We start from the raw sequence: 24869 nt of genomic DNA on the forward strand, positions 1-24869 counted from the left end.
CTCCTAAGCCAGAGATCCCTGGGTCCAGGGTGAGGGCACGGCATTCATGCTTACCCACGGGCTGGTCAACAAAGAGGTGCTGACCTGAGAGTAGGGCACATAACCTCAGCCACTGGGGTACACTTACCACCCCCGCCCCCGTGTAGCTCCCTCCCCTATCCTGAAATCTCCCTTAGCACACTAAGTATTCTAGGTTAAACAGCCCAGATGTTCAGGGAGTTCATTCGCCACAAACACACATTAAAATGCAGACAATTTGCCTGTGAGATGAGGAAAATTCTCTGGAAGATTTAGGCCCTGAGAGCTGAAAAGGGACCCTAAACATTACCTGGTGACAACTGCCCTGAGGCCAGAGAAGAGAACTCACAATATTGGTATATTAACCGGTACCATTTGTAGTTAGGCTGTCATTAATCTGGGTGTAATGGGGCTCAGCTACAGAGAAGCGTATCCAGAGGAAATGTGGGGTTCCTGCAGTCAGCTGGGGCACCGAAAAGACCCAGACTTTAGAACCAGATAAAGGCTGAGTTCGAACCTCTGGTTCTTTTGTGATGTGGTGACCTTGGGCAAATTAATGTGTGAACCTCAGTTTCCTCAACTATAAAATGTAATGAACAATACCTACCACTTACTATTGCTGTGAGGAAGAAAAGAGAGTCAACATGTACCGTGTACAGATTATTGATGTAATTCAATGGTTCTTTTCCCCATCCTCCTAGGAGGTCACTGGGGAGACAGGGGGCAGGGTCAGCCCAGTGCCAAAGGATGGGCAGGATCTGAAGTGTGGAAATGGAGTAAGGCTGTGTCTGTGTCAGAGGTGGGTTGGGAAGATGTGAGACAAACATCACAATTTTGCCTAAGGTGAATCCAACCCACAAGTAGAGCACAGGCCAACAGCAGCTCACTAGTACACATACTTACACCAGCAGCTCACTAGTACACACACTTACACCAGACGCTCACTGGTACACACTCACACCAGAAGCTCATTAGAACACACACACCGTCAGCTTGCTAGTACACACACTTACACCAGAAGCTCACTAGTATACACTTACACCAGAAGCTCACTAGTACACACACTTACTCCAGAAGCTCACTAGTACACACACTTACACCCACAGAGACAAGCCCCACACCACACGGACTCACAAATGCAGAAGAAGAGTTGACCCTGCCCTCATGTACAGATAGTATGCTGGTGTGTAGTGAGAGGCGGCTAGTGTTCGCCACGCCTGTTGCATCAATAACTATTCCACAGAACAGCATACATGGTCAAGGAATATTTTTAATATTTACAATGAGGACTGAGTGTTTGCTAAATGAAGAAATCAAAGGAGTACATTCTGGAGGGCTGGTAGACTCCCAGAGCCAGGGTTTTTGAGATGAGAGTGAAAATAAGCAGGCTGAGAGCAGAAAGAAAGAAAGTTCTGCAGATAGAAGTTAGGATATTACCACTTCGGCCCCAGCCCAGCCAGTAAATGTTTAGAAGCATAGTAGTAATTAGCAGGTAGGAGTTGTGGGGAGGAAAGGAAACTGACATGATGGGAAGCAGGACCAGCTACAAAATCTTCAGGACCAGCTCAGAATGAAAATGCCGGGGCTCGTGTTAAATCTTAGGATTTCAACATGGTGACAGCAGAGCACTAAACCAAGCAGGGGGCCCTTCTAGCAGGAGGCCCCATGGGGACCTAGGAAGGAGGTCACATCCATACAAATGTAAAGAAATGTCAGAGTAAATTTCCTCCATTGTCCAGGAGATTCGGAATAGGTTCTCCTAAGACTGATATTTCTTCATTTTAATAGAGTTGCTCAGAAATGAAAAACAATCAATGGGAAGAAAAAGAAAAAAAAAAAAGATAAGATGAGTAGGAGGGCAGGTCCAAAAGAAGTGATTCAGCAAAATGAAAGGGGTCCTCAGGGATTAAAGGGGATGAATTTACCTGTCATCCCTAAGAATCTACAAAGGAGATGCTCAGGACAGAAACTGTATCAACACAACTAGTAGCAAGAAGTTACTCTGATGATATCAGATGTTTATTTGGGAAACTTGCTAGTAGAGAAAGCTACATATAATATTTGGATGCAAAGGGACACAGAAGGTTGAAGAGTCCCTAATTTTGAAATAAGGGAAGATGACTAACTGTCTGAGCTGAGAAAACTCAGGGGTACCTGGAGGCAGAGGAATGGATAAGATGACTTCATGCACCACAAAAAGAAAAAACCTCACATTCTCATGAACGCACTGTAAAACCAAAGGATGTCCTCATGTGAATGCAAAAAATAGGCCATCTGTAAATCCAAAGAAAGCCCCCAGATCTAAAATGTCTCCCTCATCCCAGATTCCCCTTCATTCCTGAGCACCTTAGATTTGGTATAAATAACCTGCTTGGGAGGGGGCTTTTTGAATTCGTACATAATTTAACCTTCACACAGTTTCTGCAAAGTCAGAATGGTGATTATTACCTCACATGCAGAAAAAAGTGATAGGAATTTCTGTCTTAAAAGTCTTGTTGGTGGACAAAGGAAGTTCTAGGATTTGGATCTTGTTTTTTTGGGTTCCAATCCCTTGCTCCAGTTAAAAAACTACCACATAAAATGGTGAGAAGTAGGTAGGCAAGTTTTTATTGATAGAGAGGAAATCAAATAATGGCAATGAGGAGACATCACCTGGAATGTTAGGCAGTGCCTAACTGGGGGATGGACAGACAATGGGCAGTGCCAACCCATAGGGTGGATACAAAAGACAGGCAAGGAAGGGGTAGAACCATCAAAGAGGAATAGGCTGGTGACCCCAAAGCAAGGAGGACCTAGTAACATAATTGTGCTTCATTATGGTCCTTTCCCGGCCTTCTCTCTCACACATACACAGAGCCCCTACCAGGACCAGACAGCTCTTAGAGCAACCCTAGCCCCATTACCTCTTCCCTTTCCAGAGGACCTGAAAAACGTGTTCCCACCCAAGGTCGCTGTGTTTGAGCCATCAGAAGCAGAGATCTCCCACACCCAAAAGGCCACACTGGTGTGCCTGGCCACAGGCTTCTACCCCGACCACGTGGAGCTGAGCTGGTGGGTGAATGGGAAGGAGGTGCACAGTGGGGTCAGCACAGACCCGCAGCCCCTCAAGGAGCAGCCCGCCCTCAATGACTCCAGATACTGCCTGAGCAGCCGCCTGAGGGTCTCGGCCACCTTCTGGCAGAACCCCCGCAACCACTTCCGCTGTCAAGTCCAGTTCTACGGGCTCTCGGAGAATGACGAGTGGACCCAGGATAGGGCCAAACCTGTCACCCAGATCGTCAGCGCCGAGGCCTGGGGTAGAGCAGGTGAGTGGGGCCTGGGGAGATGCCTGGAGGAGATTAGGTGAGACCAGCTACCAGGGAAAATGGAAAGATCCAGGTAGCGGACAAGACTAGATCCAGAAGAAAGCCAGAGTGGACAAGGTGGGATGATCAAGGTTCACAGGGTCAGCAAAGCACGGTGTGCACTTCCCCCACCAAGAAGCATAGAGGCTGAATGGAGCACCTCAAGCTCATTCTTCCTTCAGATCCTGACACCTTAGAGCTAAGCTTTCAAGTCTCCCTGAGGACCAGCCATACAGCTCAGCATCTGAGTGGTGTGCATCCCATTCTCTTCTGGGGTCCTGGTTTCCTAAGATCATAGTGACCACTTCGCTGGCACTGGAGCAGCATGAGGGAGACAGAACCAGGGCTATCAAAGGAGGCTGACTTTGTACTATCTGATATGCATGTGTTTGTGGCCTGTGAGTCTGTGATGTAAGGCTCAATGTCCTTACAAAGCAGCATTCTCTCATCCATTTTTCTTCCCCTGTTTTCTTTCAGACTGTGGCTTCACCTCCGGTAAGTGAGTCTCTCCTTTTTCTCTCTATCTTTCGCCGTCTCTGCTCTCGAACCAGGGCATGGAGAATCCACGGACACAGGGGTGTGAGGGAGGCCAGAGCCACCTGTGCACAGGTACCTACATGCTCTGTTCTTGTCAACAGAGTCTTACCAGCAAGGGGTCCTGTCTGCCACCATCCTCTATGAGATCTTGCTAGGGAAGGCCACCTTGTATGCCGTGCTGGTCAGTGCCCTCGTGCTGATGGCCATGGTAAGGAGGAGGGTGGGATAGGGCAGATGATGGGGGCAGGGGATGGAACATCACACATGGGCATAAAGGAATCTCAGAGCCAGAGCACAGCCTAATATATCCTATCACCTCAATGAAACCATAATGAAGCCAGACTGGGGAGAAAATGCAGGGAATATCACAGAATGCATCATGGGAGGATGGAGACAACCAGCGAGCCCTACTCAAATTAGGCCTCAGAGCCCGCCTCCCCTGCCCTACTCCTGCTGTGCCATAGCCCCTGAAACCCTGAAAATGTTCTCTCTTCCACAGGTCAAGAGAAAGGATTCCAGAGGCTAGCTCCAAAACCATCCCAGGTCATTCTTCATCCTCACCCAGGATTCTCCTGTACCTGCTCCCAATCTGTGTTCCTAAAAGTGATTCTCACTCTGCTTCTCATCTCCTACTTACATGAATACTTCTCTCTTTTTTCTGTTTCCCTGAAGATTGAGCTCCCAACCCCCAAGTACGAAATAGGCTAAACCAATAAAAAATTGTGTGTTGGGCCTGGTTGCATTTCAGGAGTGTCTGTGGAGTTCTGCTCATCACTGACCTATCTTCTGATTTAGGGAAAGCAGCATTCCCTTGGACATCTGAAGTGACAGCCCTCTTTCTCTCCACCCAATGCTGCTTTCTCCTGTTCATCCTGATGGAAGTCCTCAAACACCATTTCCATACCCAGGCATTCTGGGTCCCCACTGGAGGGTTAGTCTGAAGGGCAATGGCTGGGCTTTGGAAAACCAGCAAGATGAGGACAGAGAGGAAGGCACACAGCAAACCATAAGCCCTTACCCAGTGCAGGACAGAGGATGCGGGCAGACCTATGGGTTACAATGTCTGGTCATTTCCCAATTCCAGATTAAACTGTCACCTGTTTTACCTTTAGTTTTATTAGTTTGTAGTCTTAACACCTCCAGCTTCTCTTGTTTCAGGATTTGGGCTTAAAATTGAGTGCTACTCTGCATGTCTAGTTTGAAATACTAGAGAAGGCAGAGTTGAGACAACTGATATGTAAAGCCTGGGGAAGAGTGATTTCTCAGGAGCGAGACACACTAAGTCAGGAGCAATGGGATATAGGGCCCAGTGGGGGCTGAAGTGCTATGTTCAGAGTAGCCCTTCCAATGGGCTTCTTCGTTTGATGGATGGAAACCAAACCACTCCAAACACAAGGTGTTAACTGCTCCTACTTGGGCAAAGACAGTTATCCTGTCAAGGTAAATTCTGCATACAGGCTGAATGCATTGTGGTAAAACACTACATGGAGGAAGAGGAGGAATGGGATTAAAGAAAAGGAGGCCTAGAACAGTGAGAGGGGCTGAGAGAGGCCATGTCGAAGTTAGTTGAGGAAGACTGTCAGGGGAGAGAAGAGAAGTCTGAAAGCAGAGAAAGGTTGGGAAAGAGGAGGGAGCCCTTTGTTGAGAGCCTGCTTGCTTCAGGCCTCAGGCTGGACGCTGCTACCTGTGCTGTCTGCATCTGCACAATGATCCCAGGAACAGGTATTATTTTCCCCATGTTATAGATGTGGAAACTGAAGATTACAGTTCAAATTACTTATGAGTTGTGAAACCGTGGCATGTTCTGCTGAAGATGGCAATTCTGGAAACTTTTTCCAAGTAGTTACCAGGATGGTGGGATTGCTCCTGGTATCTGGGTGATCCTAGAGCAGCTTCTCCCAAACTCCAGGCAGGGCCCATGGTAACACACTGAAGACACCTTAATGCCTTGGTGTCTTTGTTTCCCACGGCTGCCGTAACAAAGTACCACTGGTGGGTTTAAAACAATAAAAACTTATTCTCTCACAGTTCTGGAGGCTAAAGATACAACACCAAGATGTCAGCGGGTCATCCTGTATGACAGCTCTAGGGGAGAATCCTTTCCTGCTTCTTCCCATGTCTGATGGCTTCTGGCACTCCTTGGCTTGTGCCAGCATCGCAGCAATCTCTGCCTCTGTCTTCACATGGCATTTTCCCTGTGTCTCTGCATTTAAGCTCCCCTCTCCTTTCTCTTTTCAAGGCATGGTCTTAGGATTTAGGGCCCACCCTAAATCCAGAACAATTTTATTGAGAGATCTTAACAAATTATACCTGCCAAGTCCCTATTTCCAAATAAGGTCACATTCTGAGTTTCTGAGTGGGCATGAATTCTGGGGGAACACTCTTCTTCCCACTACACTGGGGATCTTGGAACTGGAGAAGAGGGTTCTCTGGTGGCAGCTTGCAAAGACCAGGAAAGGATGTGCTCACAGCAGGGATGGGGCCCAGGAAACTCATCACATGCCGGTCATTTCCATCAGTCGTAACTATCTCTAGACTGCTCAAAATGCAGTATAGTATTTTGTTGGCTATTGTTGTTACATATGTGCTGGTTTGTTTTTATATTGGCTAAAAAAAAGCCTAAAACAAAGGGGACAGGCTTTAGGCCCTAGACCAACATTCATGCTTCCCACTCCTTAGACCTGCGTGGAGGCAGCAGGCATATCCTTGTGGCTCCTCGCAAAGGTAGGACAGGAGGATGAGCAGCCGAGGGAACAAGGAAGCACTTCAGAGAGAGCAGAACTGTGGGGGCCAGAGGGCGCAGGCTAGGACTGGGGATATTGGAGGATAGTGGTTTGTGTGGGCAGAGCTGTGAGGGGCTGAGCAGCTGTAGTGCAAGATTAGAGTGGAGGTGGGAAGGGGGAAACACCTTGTAGAAGAAAGATAGTGTCTGTTAGTTTGATGGCCATCATCTTGGGGACGTGGAAAACGGAGGCATTAGCAGGTGGGAGGATGTGGGAGGAGTTTCTTGTTAGTACCCTAGAGTTTGCAATCAGACCCAGGTGAATGAATTCTCCTCTGGAGGATAAAAGGCCATGTGAATTTTACCCTCTCAGTCCAGGGGACTTGACAGAGATGGAGAGAGCTTCAAGCTCCATCTGGTCCTCCCAACACCCTACTTGACCCAGGGCAGGTTCCTCTTCCCAAGTTTTTACAGCCATTTCCTTGTCTCTCTCAAACAACACCCCCAACATTCAGCACGCATGCACTGGGAAGTGAATCTCTTCTGCCTCTACCTGCCTTTTTCTCTAGAATCGAAGTGGATTCTTCTGGGCCAATTCTGGGCATCCTCTCCATTCTTCCTCAGGTAACACTGAGAAAAGATGAGTTCGATGTAGGGCAATAATATAACTTACTGTAAGAATTGAGATACCATTGAAAATGAAAGGGGCCCATTGGCCACATGGGATGCTGGAACAAGAGGAGTAAACCAGGAATGGTCACAAGGCCCCTCCAGTGGAGAGGCTCTGAGGGAGTTTCTGGGTGCAGCATTATTCCTGCAAAGGGAGGTACTAAAGGGACTCCACACCAACCTGGACTTGTTGACTGGTTCAAACCTCAGGGCTGACCTAAGCATCATCCTATGAAGAAACCATGTGGACAGAATATAGGGCAAGGCAGGGACAACAGCATCCAACACAGGTGACACCCAGTGCAGAGCAAAGCATGCTTACTTATTGAAAAGAGTTACAAGAAAAGCATCTCTGGAAGAATGTCTAGGGTACCCCAAGTTCTCGCTGAACTTAGCATGGAGTAGCTCTTAAAGAGAAGAACTTCACCTGTGACCTTTACAGATTTATTTGGGAAATTGGAAGAAAAAGGGGGTCATCCAAATGGTTGTGTAATAAAATAACTTCTTTGTGGGGGAAATGGGATTCCCGTGAGCATCCCAGAGCCCCAGTCACCATCACTTCCTGAGAGGAAGAATCTTCCCATCAGCACCAGTATCCATAGAGATTTTCCTACTACTAGGCTCATTGCTGGGCCACATAAGGTTGGGGAGTGGGGATGGTCGGGAGCTGCTGGGACAATCCAAGAGAAAAAGGCTTTTTCTCTCTCAAGGGAGTGATTTCATAATAAGAGTTTGAGATAAGGGCAATGGATCCTAATAGATATTAAAGTCTCCATTTCCGTCCCTGAGCCATTTCCTCATTTTTCTTCTGTAGTGGCCCAGAAAGGAGGGGTGGAGATAGACTGATATCAGCCCCTAACAGTCTGTGTGACACACAGCCCCAAATGTCCTATATAGGAGAATCTTTGTGAGGTTTCTCTGGTTATAAATGAATGTGGGAATGGAATATTGGTGCTTTGAGACCTCTGTTGAAGCTGCATAGTGAAAACAAAAATGAGTTTTTGCTTCTTCCTCAGGTAACACTGAGCAAAGATGTCTAGCCATATTTTCATTTAGGGGTGTTGGGAGATGCTGGTGGAGATCACGGGAATGGCTAAAACCCAGAGGTGAACTCAGCTTTGCCATGGACCCATGAGTGAATCCATTTTCTGCTTCTCTACTGACATCTCAGACTCATCACCAGGTTCACTTTTACCATGTCCTAGAAACTCCCCTATGCTATATAAGAAGACTCATAGTATAGAATGGCATGAAGCATGGCCAACAGTTTTAATCACAGTTCATTTCCATTGCTTGTGGCAAACTCCCATGGCTCCCAAAAAGCTGATTTCTGAGGCTTGGGACCCCATAACCTAAGACTACCCAACCCACCTAGACTCAAACACAACATATTCCCTGCCTTATTCTAGGGTTGAATGTTCTTTCCTCCTATCTGGAAGCCTTCCTTTTCTTGCTGTCTGTGTTTGTGAATTTGAAGTTCCTGGGTTCCTTAACATCCCTACATCTCTGCCTGTCCTTTTATTTTTTTTATTGTGGCAGAACTTATGAATCATCTCCCTCCAACAGACATGATATTTTCTATTCGCCATCCCCCTCTCCTATAGACTCAACTACATGCCTTTCTCTCCCATCTCTATCCATAGTCTTTATCTCTGCTGCTGGTGGACTCCTGAGAGGGCTTCTTGGGGAATATGGGGCCCCAAAAATGAGTGAATGGCTTCTGTAGGTCAGCAAAAAGGATCTGAAAATGAGCCTACACCTGTGACTATTTCCAAAGGATTTTTATCAGCTTGCTCTGCAACTGATCTCAACTGCCCTCTGTGAATATGAGCATTTAATCCACACAACATGTAAAGCTAATTCTCAGCTCCTTTTTGCCAACCTACAGTTGCTATTCACTTATCTCTGGGACCCTATAGTCCCCCCAAAAGCCCTCTCAGGTGTCTACATGCAACAGAGTGCCCATATTCTGGCAAGAACCCATAAATCTATGCGAGACAGAATCATTAGAAACTTTAAAACTTGAGTTTTTGGAATGGAAAAAAAGCATGTAGTGGATGGATGAAAACATTATCGTAGCAAAGAAGATGTTGTAATGCAGAGACCTGGGTTTAAGCCTTAGTTCTGTCATTTATCAACTATGTGACCCTGGGCAAGTGATCACCTCTGAGACTCAGTTTTCCTTGCTGTAAAATGAGCTCAATTACAAGCCCAACTTCATAAGATCGTTTTATCTCATTTAACCCACACAACATGTAAAGCTTTTAGAACAATATCAGTAAGTATTAGGTGTTATTATAACTACTACCAACCTGAAGATTTTTTTCAGGCAAAACATTTTCAGTTTTCTCAATTTTGTTATTATAGGGCACAGTTTTGAGCACGTCCTACTTTCCATAGCCCAATCACTCCCTTCTGAAAACATTAAAGTTTGTTTTTATCCCTCTATCTTTTAAAAAATGTGTTGTACAGGACCTGACCCAGCACCAGGTGGGTTCTGACCTACAAAGAGTAAAGGGGGAACTTTGCCTCCTCTTTCTCAACATCTTATACGTTAGTTGGTTCCATTAGGACAATTTATCTACTTTTTGTACGCTCACCATCCCGTTGACTCACAGAGCTCACTTTGACTCACCCCCTGGGTGTTTTTTCACATATCCTTCTTTCACATATTCCCCTTCCTGTGTTCATATAGATGGTTTTCTCTGTTTGGTGGGGGAGGAGGGAGAGAGAGAATGTTTATCATGTTTATTCAGCTTATCTCTCCAACCTATTAAGATTCTGCAGGATTCTAATTTTGTGATTCATTATATTTATCCTTCTATCCTCATGCCATCTCAGATATGATCATCTTGCCTGATTCATTACTATAAGAGTGATTCATGAAATTCATAGCAAGATCACAGCTCAACAGAGACCCCACATTCCCCAAGCCTTGTCTGAAGTCCAGGAGCTGCTAAAACACAGAGAATTAGCTTCTGGTCCTCCTCTGGCCCCAGCTGCATGGCTCTGAACAACTCATTTTTATTCTCTGGGCTTATATGTCCTCCTCTGTGATATGAGGACATTGGGTAAAGTGATCTCTAAGAATCTTCAAACTCTGCTCTTCAGATTCTCTGATTCAAAGCCTGCAGTCTCTGAAGTACCAAGAGAATGGGAACTCAGAGAAGCTAAGCTCTTCCTGGCCTCAAATCATACATATCTGTGACATAGTCTCAGACAGTCTGATGGTGGAAGAGGACAGCACTGGCACTGGAGTCCCACAGTTAGCAAGAGTCAACTGGAGCCCTGACACCTGTTCCCTGGCCCTCCTCCATCAAAAAGGTCTAGGGCCATGAATGACAAGAAAATTGTGTTAAAAAGGAGAGTGGCCCTGAATCAAAAGGTGGGAAGTAATGAGATGTAAATCGGGGTCTTTTAGGTAATAGCTGACAACTGGGGTAGGAATGGGGGTTCTGAGCCCAGTGCTGGCTGCCGGGCTGTTTATCTCTGAGTCACATCAGCACCAAGCCACAGCAGCCACCTGCCCTAGCTCCATCTCTTACAGTCACAACAGGATGTGGTTTGACATTTACTGGGTCCTGCATCTGGGGTGCCTGTGAAAGTTGCTCCCTCCACCCACCCACCTTCAGAGCATCATGAGAACCACACTCACCGCATCCGGCACCCAACCCCCTCCTATGCTGCTCTTTCTACCTGGGCCCCTGGTTAGCATCCTGGCAGTAGAAATAGAACTTCAGAGGGGAGGGGCAGGGTCTCTAGAGGGGAATCTAGGTATCCCAGATCCATGTGCAGGCCTCCCCTCCCCCAACACATCTTTACACCTGCTGGAGGTTATGCACAAGATCAAAGGCCACAGTGGGCACCATGAAGATAGTGGAGAATGAAAAACAGCTGCAATAACTGCTCTGACCCAGTTGGGATCCCTTCTGGTCCCACATCACTCAGGCAACTCTCTCTTCCCACCTGCCCCCCAAACTCCCTTCCACCTCCCTCCACATGTATCCTCCCACTTCCTTCCACTCATGTAATGAGAGGTGCTGATGAGTCACAGGAGAGGTAGCCCTAGATAACCAACAGACTGCAAAACGGACAGTCCCTGGATGTCTGAGCCAGTGTTTGTGCACTGCATTGACTGGCTCCTCGTAGTTTTTTCCTGTAGTTGCTAAAGCCTGTAAGGTCTGTGTGATGAATATTTTCTAACACATCTTAGAAGAACATAATGCAAGACAGAATGAAAAACTAGAGAGGCAGAAACCCCCAAAGTAAGTAGTGGGAAATTACCAGGTATATAATAGGTCAAGCCTGCTCTGCAGGAGCTCAAGGGATTGTAGCATTCTTATCCCAAACCACTGAATCCTGGGCAAAAATAAGAAGTCGCCTAATTTTAGTATTACCAGCTTCCCAACCCCGGGCATTCTTCATCTTACTCAAGCTGTCCAGAGGCCCCAGGGTGACTCCCTATAAGTCCCATGGGTGGCTGAGATCTATTTAGAGGCACAAGGGTATCTCCTTATAAGTCCCATGGGTGGCTGAGATCTATGAGAAGCATCTTGGGGAGAGTGCCTCTGGCCACCAGCATGTGGCCCTGAATCTTCCATGTGCAACTGGCCAGGGAAGGAGATATATGGAAATAGTCATCCTGCACATCTGCAAAATCAGATGCAAATCCTGGAAGCTCTCCTAGAAAAGAGACAGCCTCATCTGATTAAAGGGGCAAGTGAGTTTGATGAATTATTGGCAAGAGACAGCATGTCTGAACAGGATCGGTCATCCTAAACTGCTTTCCTTTGTCCCCTGGAATTATAATGACTGTGGATTTCTGAGTCCTAGATGGTATGGAAACAGTTATGGGAATGAACAGTCTTGCATGAATAAGAGCAGATAACATGGAGGATGTTAATTTGTTCTGCTGAATTTAGGTGGCTTTCAAGCCTCTCCTTCAATGCTCACCTGTCTCTAGGATGCTCTGTGCAATGATCAGGACTTTTTTTCTTCAGATTCTCTAAAACTTACAATATTCACATAGACCTGCACATTTCTACACAAACTGACTCTCCTGCTTGCAATGTCATTTTGCTTATATAACTATTAGCCTCCTAAAGAGCTAAACTTAGCTACAATTTTATGTCCTTTGTGAAGTTTTCCAGAATTTTTGCAGTATATTACAGGAAGGAAAAATCTGCCTCAAGTCTCTACTAATTCTACTTGACTAGTGGTGATTGCCTGAGACATTTCTCTATTAATGAGGATTCTGAAGCTGTATAAAGCCCCTACAGAATCAGCATCTGAATAGGCACAGCATAGGGTTCAAGTTTCATGGTTTTGCCATCCAAGCATGTTTAGCATTTTAAATATTAATATTTATTACATACTTGTAGTTTATGATTTGAAATTTTTTAACTAAGTCTTCCTCTTGGGTAAGTTGTAATGAAAATAATCTTGTAAGCTTAAGGAGCGGAAAATAATACCTGTTGAAAATTAGAGCTTGTAATAGGGCTTTATAAACACCATCTCATTTAATACACATAACAATTCAATGAGGCAAGTTTTATAGGTGGGGAAAAACTTGAAACTTAGTAAAATTAAATAACTAGGTCAAGTTCATAACAACTAGCAAATTTTTAGACTACAAAAATCAAGTGCTTTGACTAAATCATGCTATGACTGTGCCCAACACCATCTCGAGTACATTTTATTTTTCTTTTTAATCCTCAAAATGACTCACTGTGTCCAGCAAATAATAGCTGCTTAATACATAGGTGATCCTTAAAGTTCAGTAGGGACCCCTGGGCATTATTCCATATGTTCTTGATCACTCTGTGTCTACATCTCAGATTTTCCACTTCAGATTAAATGATACTAGAAATATGCACGTGTCTGGATTGATCTAGGTTAAATGATGCCCGGAATGGAGTATTTTAAGACATCTTGTGCCCCCTTGTGGAGGGGAAGGGACATTAGAAAGAAAATCTTTTTAAGAACAAGGACTAGGGAGGGATGGGGATGAGGAAGGAAGCTCAGTTGCCAAGGTAACCATCGAACCTCTTCCCAGCCATCCACATCAGCCTTTTCCTCTCCTTCATTTCCATCCAAGTGATTTCTCTTTTTTAGAGCTCAACCATTACACACACGGTCCTCTTCTTGCGTATCTCTTGGATCACCATCTGTCTGTCTTTGCTACAAAGGAAGGGCTACAAGATAGTACAACAGGACATTTTTTAAAACCTCAAACATCACCAAAATTTCTAAGTGCAAGCTTATTTTTATTTTTTTTTTTTTTGAGACAGAGTCTCGCTCTGTCACCCAGGCTAGAGTGCAGTGGCATGATCTTGGCTCACTGCAACCTCCACCTCCCAGGTTCAAGTGATTCTCTTGCCTCAGCCTCCCAAGTAGCTAGTATTACAGACGCCTGCCACCACGCCCGGTTAATTTTTGTACTTTTAGTAGAGACAGGTTTCACCATATTGGCCAGGCTGGTCTCAAACTCCTGACCTCAGGTGATCCTCCTGCCTCAGCCTCCCAAAGTGCTGGGATTACAGGCATGAGCTACCACGTCTGGCCTAAGTGCATGTTACCTATACTAACAAAACCACACTTCTGCCTCGAATGAGAACAGTCTCCTGAACATCTTGCCTCTTTGCCTGACTCAAAGCCTCAGGTCTAAGCCTCCCCATAATTTCTAGTCTCAGCAGAAAGATCAATGACAGGAGACTCTCCAGGTGATGAAATTAACCAATTAAGTAACCTGGGTTGGCATCCTCCCGTTTGTTCACCAGCTCACCTCCTGCCACAGGTATATCCTTTCTCTCAGCCATATATGCACAAACCCCCTCCCCACGGCACACATAGAAGAATTTGGAAGACTAGAAAATCAGGCAAGGTATAGCACACCTTGAGGGCTGGAGTATGGTAGCCTGGGCCGGGACATCCATACATTGAGAACTTGACTATGTGCAGGCAAATCACAGGTTCTGCACACATACAATTTTTTGTTCTCCCTGAGAACTTAGTAGAGTCTTTTGTAGAATTCTCGCTTTATTCCATTGCTTTCACATTGGCCAGCAGTCAGAAACCTACTTACAAATATCCTCCACCCAGTCCCTAAGTGAAGGCCCCTGGGGAGTATGGTTAGGGCTCAGGAGAGGGTGGGGTTTTTGCACAGATGTCTGCCCCACCCAGCTCAGTGTGACACTCCAGGCACAGAGATAGAAGCCAGAGTCACTGAGAAGGAGCTTCTTAGAACTCAGGATGAACTGCCGGTCCTGGGGTCTGGAGGCTGAGAGATTCTGGGGCACCTCAGAGCTGATCTGGCCAATACCAACGGAGTAGAAGAGCAGCTGGAGGCCCCTGCCTGCAGCCTGTCGGTACCAGTATAGGTTGGGGTTTGATGTTCCCTCCACAGTGCACTCCAGAGAGAGCGGGCTGCCCACAGGCTGCACCAGGGTCGCTGGCCATTGATGAATAGTCTGAGATCTGACCCCTGTGGGAAAGATAAAGTGCCATTTACAGAGGAGCACCCCAGCCTGGCTTGCCTTCCCCAGACAGAGGGGCAGCTCAAGCTCTTGCATGACACAGGCACCTGGAATCCATCATGGGGAGTAGACTGGGGGAGCCAAGGATGCAAAGCATCCCTGGGCCAGGGAAGACCAACAGAACGAACTCCTTCTCAGGAGATAGAGAGAACTAAGAATCATCAGATCAGCCCCTAAGGCTAAATTCCCATATCTGTTCCAGACAATCAGGAATAGACTCAAGAGTGTCAAACCAACAGCTCAGACTCTGCATTCACGGGATTGGGGTGAGGGTGAGGATGAGAAAAGAGGCTTGCCAGAGAGGAGGGCACCCACCAAAGAAAGTGCCCAGGAGAAGGGCAAGGAGAGAGCAGAGCATCATCCAAGCCAGCCTTTCCTTCAGCTAGTCTGGGGGACAGACGCCTCCTCTTCTGGGCCAGTGATGTGGTCAGGCTGCTCCCTCTGGGAGATCTGCTGCCAGAGCAGAGGAATCCTACCCCATGAGCTGGGGAGGAAATGAGGCTAGTCTTCTTTTAAGAGTGTGGTGAATCACCCCCAGCCTCCCTGGGAACCAGCTATACTCTGCACTTGTTATCTTCTTTGCATTCCTGCTGACATCCTGGTATGTAAATATATTTAATGACTCATTATTTACCTGTAAACTAAAGGTAACTCTCCAGCTCCCCCGGGAGACATCAGAAGCCTGGGAAAGCTTCAGAGAAACTGTGATACTGATAGAAGGATGAAAAAAGATTTTAGTTTATCTGAAATTGGAAACTAGAGCTAGACATGTTACCTGGGAGATGAAAGGATAGGGCTCAAGAGATTCAGGTATTTTGGGGTAATCAAAGCAGAAATGCTCAGTTCTGAGGGCAGGAAGCTTCTATGACAGCCAAAGGGATCGCCTGCATAATCTTCATCCCTGGCAGACAGATTTTGAGACCTGGACAGGCATAATTAACTCCTGAACTGATCAAAGTTGGAATCTGCTCCATGTGTCTCTAATGGGCCAACTAGATCTAATTTATCCTCTAAATGCAATATGAGTAATAGGAAACATCACAGAGACTTGGAATCATATGGATTTGGGTTCATTTCACAGCTCTGCTTCTTGCTGGCTTGGGAACTCTCAAGCAAACCCTGATTCTCAATTTTCTTATCTATAAAGTGAAAATAATGATGACAATATCTAAAAATTGTTGAAAGATGCATTTTGCCTGGTGCACTGCAGGCAGGCACTCTTACATATGTTGGCTTTTTTTTTTTTTTTTTTTTTTTTTTTTTTTTGACTCCCTATGTCTGCAGCAAAGATTGGGAGATTTACAATGGCATGGGGTGGAAGGTAGGGGCTGAAGGGATCACGAGCCACAAAAAACACAGTCAAGCCACGAATTCATAATAGTAAGGATTCATAATAGCTAAGCATGGGACTCTGCTAGGTAGCTGCTAAAATGTCATTCTGCTGAAATGGGACAAAAGACCTTCAGATGCCTGGAGGACACCAGCACACCCTTGGAAACTCCTCTTCCCTCTGTCTTTGCCATGCTCTGTATTCTGAAGGATTCATATTCAGAACAATTACTTAGTTTGGGTTGGATGTGGTGGAGCGGTTTGAGATGAAAACCCAGGAAAGAAAGCCGTAAAAGTGGCTGAACAGGGAGAATAAGCTTTAAGCAAATAAAGCATTTGTAACACTTTCCCATTTCATCAGGGCCTAGTGATGTCATATGTTTGTTGTTGTTGCTGATGCTACAGTAACACAATTCCAAGTTAATGTTGGGGTTCTTGCTTCTGACAGTTTTGGCTGTAGCACATTTTTTTGTTTGCATTTGAATACACCATATGTATAGGGGAATGTTTTGTTTTTTATCATTTCAAAATGGAATTAATCCTCTTATAACATTTATTTAAATGATAAATCAAGTGGTAAATATAGTTTGCTTGCAGTGAACATTTGGAACATATGATGAAAAATAGCTATAGCCAACGCAAGAGCAGTTTTCATTGAACAGTTGTTCAATCTCAGTTTTTAATAAATCTGATAATATAATATCTGTGCATGTTAGGATTGCAGAGAGTGAAGCCAAAATAAATATGTGCACACATAGCCTATTCCTCCCTTTCTTTCCATTTCTGTTCTCTTTCCTCTTTGCTTTTGAAATTTTTATTTAGTCCTGAGTGGGGATGGGGTGGAGAGAAAGTGGACAGTGGGTGGTGGGAGATACAGGGAGAAAGAATGAGAATTGCTCTTGTTCTCAAGGGTACCGCATCACGTTTTCCTCTGGCTGGCAGTCTTTAACACCAGCGTATCCTATGAGACCTGACTTCACTCATCAGCTGCATCAGCTCAGTGTCATTACCACATGTAGACAGCAATGTAATCCTCCTTCTTAGAGATGCTGCAGCAGATTGGAGGGTGAAGAGATGTATCAGTCAGATCAGAGTAACCAGCTGGCTCCTGGCTCCTGATCATTGTCACAGCTCAGTAGCTGGAAGCTCCTTCCATATGGCTGATGCCTTTAAAAAAATCTCCTCAATCTCCATCCCCATCTGCAATACTGTTTAGTTATTCAATCATTTAAGTCATTCATGTATTGAAAAGAGGATGGGGATATGATCCCTCTGCTCTGTGGCAGTAGATCTACTAATGGGAGAGTCCTGGCCGCACATCTGGCCTGGGTCTGGAGGTGCCCTACGGAATTGAAAGCTGGCTGGAACTGTCATCTTAACATGTCCTGGTCATCTTAACGTGTCCACCTCTCTGGCAAGCCTCTTTTCAAGTCTTTTTGTTACCATCTTCAGCTTTTTCCCTCCATACTAGATTCTTAATGAATTGCTGCCAACAAGAGAAAGCTTTATACATGAAGAGAATGGCAATAAGAACTAACTCGTCTTTTTAATTTTAAAACTGGTATATATTCCTATATAATAGGAATGGAAGATACTTGCAAAGCCTATTTGTTCCTCTACAGAAGAGTTAAAAATTACCTGGGCTAATGGAAAGAAGGGAGAGTCAGCCAATTAGATGCTCCTGAATGCCCTGAATTGTGACTTACCTCTTCTTATCCACATCCTGATCAAGGAAAGGGATGAGAGAGAGGTGGAGAGAGAAGAAATGGAAATTCAAAAGTTTTGACGGCAGAGGAAAATTGTGCTTATTTCCAGAATGAGACGAACAAGGTCCTGGGTCCCTACATGTCATACTGGCTAGAGACTGGTAAGTAGAAATGACTTGTGGTCAGCAGAATAATGGCTCCCAAGGATGTCCACATTCTAATCCCCAGAATCTGTGCATGTGTTAGATTACATGGCAAAGGGGAATTAAGGTTGAAGATGGAATTAAGGTTTCTAATTGGATGCCCTTAGAACAGGGAGAGTAGTCAGAATTAATCAGGTGTGCCCCATACAATCACAAGCATCTTCAACATGGAAGAAGGAAGCAGAAGAGAGTCAAAGAAAGAGATGTGGACATGGAAGCAGGCAAGAGAGATGCCATGCTGCTGGCCCTGGAGGTAGAAGGGGGCATGAGCTAAGGAATGAAGGTGGCCTCTAGAAGCTAGGAAAGGTAAGGAAATGGGTTCTCTTCTAGAGCCCTCAGGGAAGAATGCAGCCTAGCTGACAGCTTGATTTTAACTCGGTGAAACCTGTGTCAGACTTCAGAGTTACAGAACTGTAAGATAATAAGTTTGTGTTGTTTTAAGCCACTAAGTCTGTAGTAATTTATTAGAGCAGCAGTGGAAAACATACATGGCTCTAGAATGTGTCTTAACAGAGGGACCTGAGGTAGTCTCCAAGAATCCCCAAAGATCTCAGGATAGATCAGGAATAGCCATTTTCTCATTCACAGGGAAACAGATTAACTGAGAGAAGCCATCAAGCCTGAAGAGACATCGTGTTTGAAATGTGTAAGGCACAGTGTACCCGCCGTGGATCAAAACAACCTGAAGGACAGACAGACAGACACACCGAGGATCAGCAGATATCAGTGGGGACAGGTGCTGATGATGGTGCAAATGAGAGTCATGAAGGAAAGTTAAATGATGACCAAAGACCAAGTACCTTCCCCACAATGCTTTGACAAGCGCTTTTATAAGCACCCTGGAATTTAGACACTACCCGGGGAGAAAAGGAAAGGGAGACAAGCATGAATTGTCTGAGAAACCCCTGAATTAATCATGTGTACCCCAATGCAACAAGGATCTAGATATAGAATAATTTTAATTATAGAAAACAAAATTATATTTTACCCACCCATATTTGATGCCCATGAATTTCACATCTACCTTACGTGCACATAAAATTCAAGCTTAGATAGACGGAAAACAAAAAATCAAGAAGCAATATTTGCCTTCTAATAACTTATCTATTGGAGGAGGTAAAAGATAGAAAAGTAGTTCAGATGACAAATACTAAAAGAGTTAGGAACTTCTGCTTCCACTTACGATGAAGGAACTTGTACTCAATCCATCCACTTTGTAATTCTCCTTGAGCTGCTGTAATAAAGTACCACAAACTGGGTGACTTAAAACAACAGAATTTATTGTCTCATGGTTCTGGAGCCTAGAAGTCTAAAATCAAGGTATCAACAGAGCTATGCTTCCTCTGAAACCTGGAAGGAAATTCTTCCTTGCCTATTCCTAGCTTCTGTTGATTTGCTGGCAAATTTTGACATTCCTTAACTTGCAGCTACATAACTTTAAACTCTGCCTTTGGCATTACATGGCATTTTCCCTGTGTGTTTCTGTCTTCCCACGGCTGTCTTCTTACAAGTACATCAGTCATATTAGGAGTCCACAGTGCTCCAGTATGACCTCATCTTAACTAGTCACACTTGCAATGACCCTATTTTCAAACAGAGTCACATTCTGAGGTACTGAGGGTTGGGATGTCAACATATCTTTTTCTGGGGGGATGGTGGGTATAATTCAATCCATTATACCCTCCAATAATAAACACCTAGAAAACTGGGCAATATACGTGAGATAATTGTTTTCTAATATTGGACAAGAGATGGCACAAAACTGTGATCCATAAGTGAAAGGAGACAAATGAGGTGCGTGCTGTGATCATTTCCGTTTTCTACCCAGAATTTCCTGGGTTACTGTACAAACAAGAGGGACCCAAGCAGAGCATGGCACCCTGAAATTCTTACTGAGCTGAGGACACAGCTCAGAGAAGAGGAGGCCATGCACGGAAAGAGCCCCGCAATTTTCATGAGGTCTCATTGAGTCTTTGGGTAAATACTAAGCTGGCATCCATTGGGTGAAACTCCACAGGGGCAGGCAAAGAATAAGTACTGGAGAATTAACAACTGCTGGTGAACTACAGTATGAATAATTACTAGATCTTGGTCGAGGCTGAGAGAGATACAGCTCTGAGCCATCAGAATAGCTTTGTTGAATACCTGGAACATTGAACAGGTATCCCAGGAAGCCCATAACTTAGAGTAGGACTCAAATGGCATAGAATAAGTCTACCGTCCATTAACCCTAACAAAGCTTAAAAGAGCCCTTGAAAGGAAAAGCAGACAAGTTGACCTGCAAGCAAGTCAACTGCCCACTAGAATAAAGCTCAACACTCTTTGAGAGAAGAAAACAAAATTCAGATAATAAAAAAGTAACATTCATAATGTTGAGCATCCAGTCAGAAATTATGGGATATACTTAAAAGCTGGAAAATGTGTCTATGCTAAGTAGTAATATTAGGCAATTGAAATCAACCCAGAAATGGCAGAGATGGTAAATTAAAATAATGGGACTTATAAATGGCTAATATACTAAAATGGCTATTATTAAATATGTTCAAGGATTTATAGTGAAACACAACATAATGAAGAATGAAACAGAAACTATAAAAAAGCTAAATAGAACTTCTAGATCTGAAAAATATCTGAAATGAAAATTTTGCTAGATAAGCTTAAGTTGGAGTAGACACTATAGGAGAAATGTCTATGAACAGGAAATCAGGACAACAGAAACTGTCAAAACAAGAGAGAGGAAAATAAAGCTAAACAACTACAAAAACTGGAAGAGGTCTCAGGGAACTCCCAAACAATATCAAGCCACCTAGCACACATATCATTGGAGTCTTCAACATAGAGGAGAGAAAGTGGTGGCAGAAAACAATTATTTTTAAAATAGTGGCCAAAATGTTTCATACATGATAAATAATATCCACCTACAGATCCAGGAAGCTTAGCAAAACCCAAGCAGGATAAGCTCAAAAAAGTTTGTTTATGAAAGAGATTACTTTCAGGTATGAGGCTCAGTTTAACTTTCACATAAGAGACAGACTCTGAGATGGTCCTTGAGAAGTCATAGGGTTTTAGACTGATAAAAATGACATTAAAAGGCAAGAAAGGATGAATGGTACAGAAATGACCAAAGGTACAGAGGCTGAAAGTACAGGACATCGGTGAAGAACAGTAAGAAGATGAACCTAAAGGGAGAGGAAGAGAATACATGAAGATAGGTTACAGTAGAATTTCCTAAAGCTTAACACATCTGTGTCTGAGGGAATTCTATGATGGGGTAACAGAGGCTGAATTTACCCTCAAACCTGAAACAATTAAAATGCATGAAATATATGAAACTCTGGACAACAGATGGCTCAAGACCGTGATCCCTGAAAGAAGTGAAATGAATAAAGTGAACCCTGTGATGGCCTCAGTTTATAGCCTGGAGATCTTTTTCAGGCAGTATTATAGGGAGGAGAAGCCCAAACAGCGCCTGGCAGTCTCTCTGAGTTAAGGAGACTTGCATTCAGGGTTTGAGGAGGCCAAAATGGCTAAAATTCCAGGGAAGAGACCCAGGGAGGAGAAAGCGGTGGGTGGGAAGTGCTCTGGAATGTGCATTGGACTCCCAGTGACTCTTCAACTGCTCTGACCAGTGAGTACAAGAAAACAACCTGAGGCTAGGGAGAGACCACTCGATGGATCAAGCAGAACCATCTCAAAGTCCACACGGGGCCGGGAAAAGATGGTGCTTCCATCAACCAGAGTGGGAGACCTCCTAACACAGAGGGCATTGAGGAGAATTCTCAGAAGCGGATCACCCCAGTCGCGGGAAGCAAATTTGCTGTACACTAAAGGCTGTCCTAGATACAACTTACAAAGCTCCAAAACAAGACTCAGAAATATCAAATTGTTTCTATGTAATCTATCTGCATCACAAAATAAAGTCCCAAATTTATTTAAGGGATACAAATACTCCAGTAGCTAGAAACGTAAAATTCAAATATCTGATATCCAATTTTAAAAAGTCATATATGCAAAGAAAAAGAAAAATATGGGTCATAAGGAGGAGAAAAACACTCAATAGAAACAGATCCAGAAATGATATACATGATGGAGTTAGCAGACAAGGCTATTAAATATATATTCAATATGTTCGGCAGGATAGAAGAGAGTGTACATATGTTAAGAAGAGACGTGGAAGATTTAAAAAAGACTGAAATAAAACTTCTTCCGATGCAAAATACAATGAATGTGATTTTATAATATACTGGATGGGATTAACAGCAGATTAGGTATCTCAAGTCAAACTTAAAGATAAGGTAATAGAATTCACCTAGGATAAAAACAGAAAGAAACTGACTTAAAAAAAGTGAGCAGAGCATCAGTGAGCTGTAGAACAGCATTAAGCAGCCTAATATTGAGAGTCCTATAAAACTGGAGGACTAATGCAGAAAAAAGAAATTGAATAACTAATAGCTGAAGCAGTTTTAAATTTAATGAAAAGGAAAAGCCACAGATTGAAGAAGTTTCATGAACTCCAAGCACAAGTAACATGAAGAACACTTTAACAAGATATAGTATCATTGGATTGCTTAAAACTAATAAAGAAAAATCTTGAAAAGCAGCCAGAGAATAAAAGACACACTATGTACAAATGAACACAGTTAAGAATGACTGCAGTCATCTCACTAGAAACAATTCAGGCAAAAGAGTGTGGAGAAACATCTTTAAATTATTTAAAGTAAAAAAAATCCTCTTAACCTAGTACTCTATATCCAGTGAAAATATCTTTCAAAAACATTGGCACAATAAACTTCTCAGACATGAAAAAACTAAAATAATTCTTTGCCAGGAGACACACACACTATAAGAAATGTTAAAGGATGTCTTTCAGACAAAATGAAAAAAAGTCCAGATGGAATTGGTAAGCCAGCTCCCTGTGAGGGATAAAAAGGAAAAAAGGGAAAAGCCTGGATTTATAGCATTTTGACCAATTTTGTGAATATAAATATTCCCACCATGGCCAAATTCAAGCAAACAACAATTTCTAACAACTGGTTCACAGAATTTCTGGATATTTAACAACTGGGTCCTATGAGCTGATACAAACCAACTACAGACTATTACAGATAGAATATCATTAGTAAATATGTAATAAATATAAAAAACAGTATTTGTGCCATTTAAAAAATCTCTTTAAAAATAATTGACTTTCTATTTCCAGTGAAAACAAAGTAAGGGACAAAATACATAAAGCACCAGTTGTCAAGACATTAGACATCAGGCAAGGAAGGACAAGAAAAAATGAGGTGAGTTTTATAATAAAACAAGCTTACCACCTTGAGACAATTTCCAGGCCATGGCACAGAGAGGGGAAATCCAGGGGGAAACCATCAAACTCCTCGAGTCAAGGAGACACAGCTGAGAGGAGAATAAGTCAAGTAGAGTTCACAGGGCTGAGGATAGCAGAGGAGAGAAGCGGGCAAAGAGAGAATTTGTGAGGTCATCAGAGAGCCCACCCTCAGTATTCAGTAGGGTATTAACAAGAGCATGAGTGTGAAAAAACCACCTGAGATTGGGAAAATAACCACACAAAGGATTAAAGAAAACAGTAACTGAATTTCATGTAGGGCCGGGAATAGTGTATAGTTTCACCAGCCAAACTCAAAAACATTAAAATTCATGGGGCATTGGGACAAGAGCTCAGAAGTGTTTGGGCTCAGAAGTGGAGGATAATGATCTCTAAACTAAATGCTGCTCTGCTGTCATCTAACAAATGATTAAAGCCAGGTACAAAAGCATCAGATTATTTCAAGAAATGTAACTGTATTCTAAAACAGGGCTCAAAAATATTTATAGAAAAATAAAAAGTCCAACACAAAATTAAAACTCAATGTATGGAATAAAATAAAAAAATTACCAAGCATACAAAAATAGCAGAAAAATGCAACGTATAATGAAAGGAAAACTGGCACAGATGTTAGAATTAGTAAAAAAATAATAATAATTTAATTTAAAAATAAAATAGTTAAGCTAGAGATGTTAAGCAGACATAGAAGATATTTTTAAAAGCTGCAAAGCCAACTTCTGGAGATGAAAATGACAATATCTGAGATGAAAAATACACTGGATGAGATTAATGATAGATTAGACAATGTAGAAGAAAATACTAGTAACCTAGGAAGATATAGCAACAAAGGCAAACCAAAAATGGAGGATAGAGGAAATAAAATAATTTTTGAAAGGAAACAGACAATTAATTGTTACAGGACAACTTAAAGTGAACTAACATAACTGGGGTTTTAAAAGAAGAGAAGAAAGATGGGAAGAAAGAAAAAACTATTGGAAGAAATCATGACTGAAAGTTTCTAAAGTCAATAAAACTCGAACCTCACATATCCAAGAAGCCTGACAAAACTCAAGCATACATACACAAAATACACCAAAGAATATCATAATCAGATTTCTGAAAATTAGTGTTAAAGAGAAAATCTTAAAAGCAGCCACAGGATAAAAACATGTTTTGTACAGTAGAACAAGATAAAGATGACAGAAGATTTCTTGGTGAAAACAAAGCAAGTGAGAACACAGTAAAGCAACATCTTTAAAATACTGAAAGAAAAATACTGTCTTTTTGATAATGACCAGCCTAACAAATGTGAGGTAATATTTTATTGTGGTTTTGATTTTCATTTCCCTAATGATTAATGATGTTGAATACCTTTTCATATCCCTTTTGGCCATTTGAGTGTCTACTTTAGAAAAATGTTGAATAATCAAAAAAGATGATTAGTGATGTTCAGCACCTTTTCATATACCTGATTATCTTC

The 24869-nt window shown here is 43.2% G+C and overlaps 1 long non-coding RNA gene, 2 gene segments (V, D, J or C) and 1 further gene, besides 7 other annotated features; 3 read left to right on the top strand and 1 right to left on the bottom strand.

The window, feature by feature from the left end:
• Positions 1–15183, top strand: part of TRB (T cell receptor beta locus) — a 514277-nt gene extending 499094 nt beyond the window's left edge.
• TRBC2 (T cell receptor beta constant 2) lies at positions 2937–4425 on the top strand. The segment is given in 4 exon segments: positions 2937–3323; positions 3840–3857; positions 4001–4109; positions 4399–4425. Coding segments are annotated over 4 exon segments (541 nt in total), but the record flags the coding sequence as incomplete, so codon positions are not given.
• Positions 6599–7000: a transcriptional cis regulatory region, noted in NCBI's record as "candidate enhancer chr7.5162 targeted for multiplex CRISPR interference". NCBI's record gives its function as "positively regulates EPHB6 gene expression with high confidence in K562 cells {active_cell/tissue: K562}" and the evidence as "EXISTENCE:mutant phenotype evidence [ECO:0000015][PMID:30612741]".
• Positions 10285–11484: an enhancer, noted in NCBI's record as "P300/CBP strongly-dependent group 1 enhancer chr7:142506073-142507272 (GRCh37/hg19 assembly coordinates)". NCBI's record gives its function as "activates an origin of replication core promoter dependent on BRD2, BRD4, P300/CBP, MED14 and CDK7 cofactors, with strong dependence on P300/CBP, by STARR-seq in HCT116 cells {active_cell/tissue: HCT116}" and the evidence as "EXISTENCE:reporter gene assay evidence [ECO:0000049][PMID:35650434]".
• Positions 10285–11497: a biological region, named in NCBI's record as "P300/CBP strongly-dependent group 1 enhancer GRCh37_chr7:142506073-142507272". NCBI's record gives its function as "regulatory_interactions: EPHB6".
• Positions 10606–11497: a transcriptional cis regulatory region, noted in NCBI's record as "candidate enhancer chr7.5163 targeted for multiplex CRISPR interference". NCBI's record gives its function as "positively regulates EPHB6 gene expression with high confidence in K562 cells {active_cell/tissue: K562}" and the evidence as "EXISTENCE:mutant phenotype evidence [ECO:0000015][PMID:30612741]".
• Positions 14443–14451: a recombination feature (RSS_nonamer).
• Positions 14452–14474: a recombination feature (RSS_spacer).
• Positions 14475–14481: a recombination feature (RSS_heptamer).
• Positions 14482–15183, bottom strand: TRBV30 (T cell receptor beta variable 30). The segment is given in 2 exon segments: positions 14482–14773; positions 15141–15183. Coding segments are annotated over 2 exon segments (335 nt in total), but the record flags the coding sequence as incomplete, so codon positions are not given.
• Positions 16093–19332, top strand: LOC105375541 (uncharacterized). Its single transcript, XR_001745392.2, has 2 exons — positions 16093–18021; positions 18652–19332. It is a non-coding gene; the product is annotated as an uncharacterized LOC105375541 (long non-coding RNA).

Source organism: Homo sapiens, chromosome 7, assembly GCF_000001405.40.
Source record: "Homo sapiens chromosome 7, GRCh38.p14 Primary Assembly".
Classification (NCBI taxonomy): domain Eukaryota; kingdom Metazoa; phylum Chordata; class Mammalia; order Primates; family Hominidae; genus Homo; species Homo sapiens.